Raw genomic sequence first — 4,591 nt, forward strand, 5'->3', positions numbered from 1 at the left:
TTCACTCCCATGGAGGTGCCCCAGGGGTCCCTGAGTTAGAAAGGGGCCTGGCTCTGTGTCCCTGGCAGCCTCTCCCTCATGCCTGGTACAAGCTGGACCAGTCACCATAACAAAGAGGGACTTGCTTTAAAAAAAGAAAAAAAAAAAGGTGGGAGACACACCATATGAAATTGATGGGGATGCCACAGTTTGCAACTGCCATTTCACAACCACTTTAGAAGAAGCAGTGTGTTCTGGTGGTAATGAATTCATCATCGTATTCAGCACCACTTGGACAGTGGGTGGGAATGTGGCTGGATTTTCCATTTCCATGGCTGTAAACCAGTAAGCTGTGAAGCAGGAAGTCTCACATAGCTACAAGATGCAACTGCTAGACTCTAGAATAGAAGGGTATTAATTCACTATTATGCTGTCTCCTGAGCTGGAAGCTTCCTCGTGGATAGCCCTCACCTCTCACCACTCAGAGACCTCAGAATCTTCCCTCAGGCTGTGCTGGTTCAGGCCCTGGTGAGATCTTGCCTGGTTGGTAAAATAGCCTCTACCATGGCATTGCACAAAGCCTTAGAAAATAATGTGAAAAGCGCCCCTAGCGTTGTACAGCTGCAGTCAGCAGAAGTCTCTTTTATAAATGCAAATCCAAACCTGTTTATACTTGGCCCTAAATGCTGCAGTCCTCATTGCCCTGGGCCCTAACGCACACCCTCCAGGCTCATTCTCTGGGTCAGAACCTTAGTGAGTCCCTGAACACACCATGCACATTCACCTGGCCTTGCTCTTGAACTTGCTGCTCTTCGTCCAGAGAACCCTTGCCCTCCATTCTGGTCTAATAAGCCCCTATTCATTCTGTAAAACTCAGTGCCAGTGCCACGTTTCTCCACGATGCCCCCTGCTCCTGGCTGCCGCTTTCACACTTAACAATGAGTTATCTACCTTTGCAAATATGCATTGCTTCTGCCTGGCTCTTGCAAGCTTCTTACAGGCAGGAGATGGTGTCTTTTTCACCTTTGTATCCCTGGTTATTTGCACCAACTCTAGCAAAGAGCAGGTGCCAGATCATGTCGGAGGAGCTGAACTAGGTGTTTGGAAGTGCTGCATGAGGGTCTGTGCTTACAACCTGGATCTTCGGTAAAATTCTCGAGGTCAGACAGGTTGAGGCTCTAACAGAGGTGGCTGCTTTTGTCTGTGAGATTCCTGGCGGGTCAGTATCTATCCATCATCACCCTCCTGTTTTTTTTTTTTTTTTTTTTTAGACAAAGTCTTGCTCTGTCGCCCAGGCTGTAGTGCAGTGGCGCAATCTCAGCTCACTGCAACTACTGCCTCCAGGGTTGAAGCGATCCTCCCACCTCAGCCTCCCAAGTAGCTGGGACTACAGGCATGCACCACCACAGCCAGCTAATATTTGTATTTTTAGTAAAGACGGGGTTTTTATTGGCCAGGCTGGTCTCCAACTCCTGACCTCAGGTGATCCGCCTGCCTCAGCCTCCCAAAGTGCTGGGATTACAGGTATAAACCACTGTGCCTGGTGGCCTCCCTTCTTTACTCCCTATATCTGCTGGTTCCTGCACTCAGAGCTGGAACTGTGCAGAGGGCAAATGTGTCAAAGAAATCCCACACACTCCTGCATCCTCCTAAGGTGTCCCACAGACCTGCCTGGGTTCCTGCTGAGCCAAAAAGTCCATCTGGGGTGCCCACACGTTGACCCCTCTGCCCATCCAGCCAGAGCTCAACAGTGCACATGCTAAGTACTTCTGCACCCAGAAGCACGACCAGGTCACATTTGGAGGCTGGAATGGCAGCCCTTTGGGACTTGACCCTATCTCCCTGCCTTTGCAGCCATCTCTTCTCTCACTCACCCATTCTCTGGCCTTCCCAAGCTACTCACACTCCCGAATGGACCATGCATTCCCACCGACTGTACCCCCATCCTGCAAGGCCTTCTGCACCTGGCAAGCTCTGCCCATTCCCCAGGAGCCCTCACAAGTGTCCCTCCCTCTGTGACTTCTGTCCTGACTCGCCTCCCCTCTGCTGACTTAAGGGCTTTGGAGCACTCACCACCGTATGCTAGTGATTTGCTGCTTCTCCATTGCACGGGGCCCATGAGGCCCTGAGGACAGGAATGGTCTCTGTGTCCTGGGTTTCCCTCCAGGCTGGGGTGGTGTTCTGCATGCAGCCTGCGCTCAATTTGTGCTCGTGGGCACCAAATCAGATGCTCAGAATGGTGGAAAGAACATTCTAGAAAACAGCTACTCTGGTCCATCCACACCCTTCCCAGGAAAAGAAGATATTGATATAAAATCTTTTCCTTTCTCTAAAGAAATATTTGCAAATCTTTTGCCAAAATCTCTGTGAGTGAGCATGTACAATTGCTGCAAACTGCAATGAATGAGCAAAAAGGTTAATTTTCACTCCCCTGTCTGATAACAGGGTTATTGAATCAGACTCCTCAGCAGAGACCCTCAGACCACCGGGCTGAGCCCCTCAGCTTTTTTTTTTTTTTTTTAAATGGGAAAACCACACGTTTAAGGACCATCCTTCTTTTCACCAATGAGAAATCTTGAGCCTCTTCCTAGTCTTGTTTCACTAAAACACTTTATTTTAATCAAGTACTTGGAGAGAAAGCTGCTGAAACTTATTCAAATGCAACACTTAATTTTAATCAAGTAGTTGGGGAGAAAGCCAATGAAACTATTTCCAGAGTATCCTATACAGATAGGAAAGAAGGTAACATGCTGTTCAGAGGCACTGCTGTTTCTGTGACTGGGTCCGTAGTCTAATACAGCCAAAATATTATTATTTAAAATTAAGATGTTTTTTAAAAAAGACACAAAACATCTAAAGCCTCCATTCCAAAAAGTGGGGATCTCTATTACAAAAGAATACCTCAATCAAAGTTACCTGCTATGCCCTGTCTCTTCTCGAGCAGACAGGCCCCTGGGGGAAGCTGGGGAGAAGGAGATTGTTCCAGAGGCCTGGCTTCCAGAAGCTTCCCCCTCTCTCCATGCAAGCAAACAACACACCACTGGACCAGGCTCCAGCAGCTAAAATAAAACAGCTGTGTTTCTCACTCAACACCCTCTTTTACCAGATGAAGGGCACTGATTCATGGAAAGGAGACAAATATTTCAGGCCATTTTTTCAGACACTGACAAGGAGTAAATTAGGAAATCATGTAAGTACAATGCGCGCGTCATCGCTTCCTATTGATCACATGTAATTTACATCTTACAAAGATGTGAATTCTTGCATTCTCACTCCACAAGGAAAATCTCGATGATTTATTCATTTCAAATGAAAAATAGAAGGTAGATGAGAAGAATGACTTCACAGACTGCATCGTTCTCGGGGCACTGGTGCGAGGCTTTCTCATACACTGCCCGAAGGGCTCCGTGTGCAAGTCCCTCTAATTAACAAGGTGAATCACGCTGCAGCTCTCTAATTAGTGAGCCTGACAAGCCAGCGGAAACAGCCAGGCAGACTGGTATACATCGCTGGCCGACAAAGGCACGGCACATTCCAAGTGAAAAATGCAGATTTCTCCGAAATAACTATAAAAAGTAAGATGGTTGGGGAAAAAAAAGACCCACCTAATTTTAATTCTCATGTTTCATGTGCAGTTCTTATTTGCTCTCATGCGTAACCAGCTCCTTGGTAAGATGAGATTTGCCTACGCTCTTTGAACCACCTTTCCAGGGAAACTATCCTTTAAAACAGATGCATTTTTAATGTTATTTTATTGTGGTAAGAACACTCAACATGAGATCTACCCTCTTAACACATTTTTTAAGTGGACAATACAGGATTTTTTACTACAGAGCTCTAGAGCTTATTCATCTTGCTTAACTAAAACTTTGCGCTGCTCATGCCTGTAATCCCAGCATTTTGGGAGGCTGAGGCAGGAGGATCGCCTGAGGCCAGGAGTTCGAGACCAGCCTCGGTAAGATAGCAAGACCACGTCTCTACAAAAAAATTAAATAAAATAATTAGCTGGGTGTGATTGCATGCACATGTAGTCCCAGTTACTTGGGAGGCTGAGGCAGGAGGATCTCTTGAGCCCAGGAGTTGGAGGCTGCAGGGAGCTATGATTGCGCCACTGCACTCCAGCCTGGGAGACAGAGTGAGACTCTGTCTCAAACAAACAACTCTGTGCCTGTTGATTAGTGACTGCCTGTTTCTCCCTCCCCTCAGGCCTGGAAAACACCCCTGCACATTTTGATTCTATGAATCTGACAATTTTAGATACCTCATGCAAGTGGAATTATGAAGTATTTGTCTTTCTGAAAACACAGGTATTTTGGCTTGATATAAGAATCAGTGTCTCAGTTGGAAATTCATGATCTTCTGTATGTATTTTTGTCCAACATGCAGTACCTTCTAGAATTATTCCTACTTCTGCCAAAACCAGAGATGTCTGATGTCAAACCTCTTTGTGATTTACTTGGTGCCATTCAGTCAGTCCCACAGCACACCCTACAAGGAGCCCTCAAAAGCCAGGAAAGGGTAGAAACTTCTACTCTCCAAAGAGGGGTGGTACCCATGGTTCCTGAGTCACCAGCCTGGCTCACAGGTCCCACTGGAGACAGGCCTGGTGCAC

This window comes from Homo sapiens, chromosome 19, assembly GCF_000001405.40.
Source record: "Homo sapiens chromosome 19, GRCh38.p14 Primary Assembly".
Classification (NCBI taxonomy): Eukaryota; Metazoa; Chordata; class Mammalia; order Primates; family Hominidae; genus Homo; species Homo sapiens.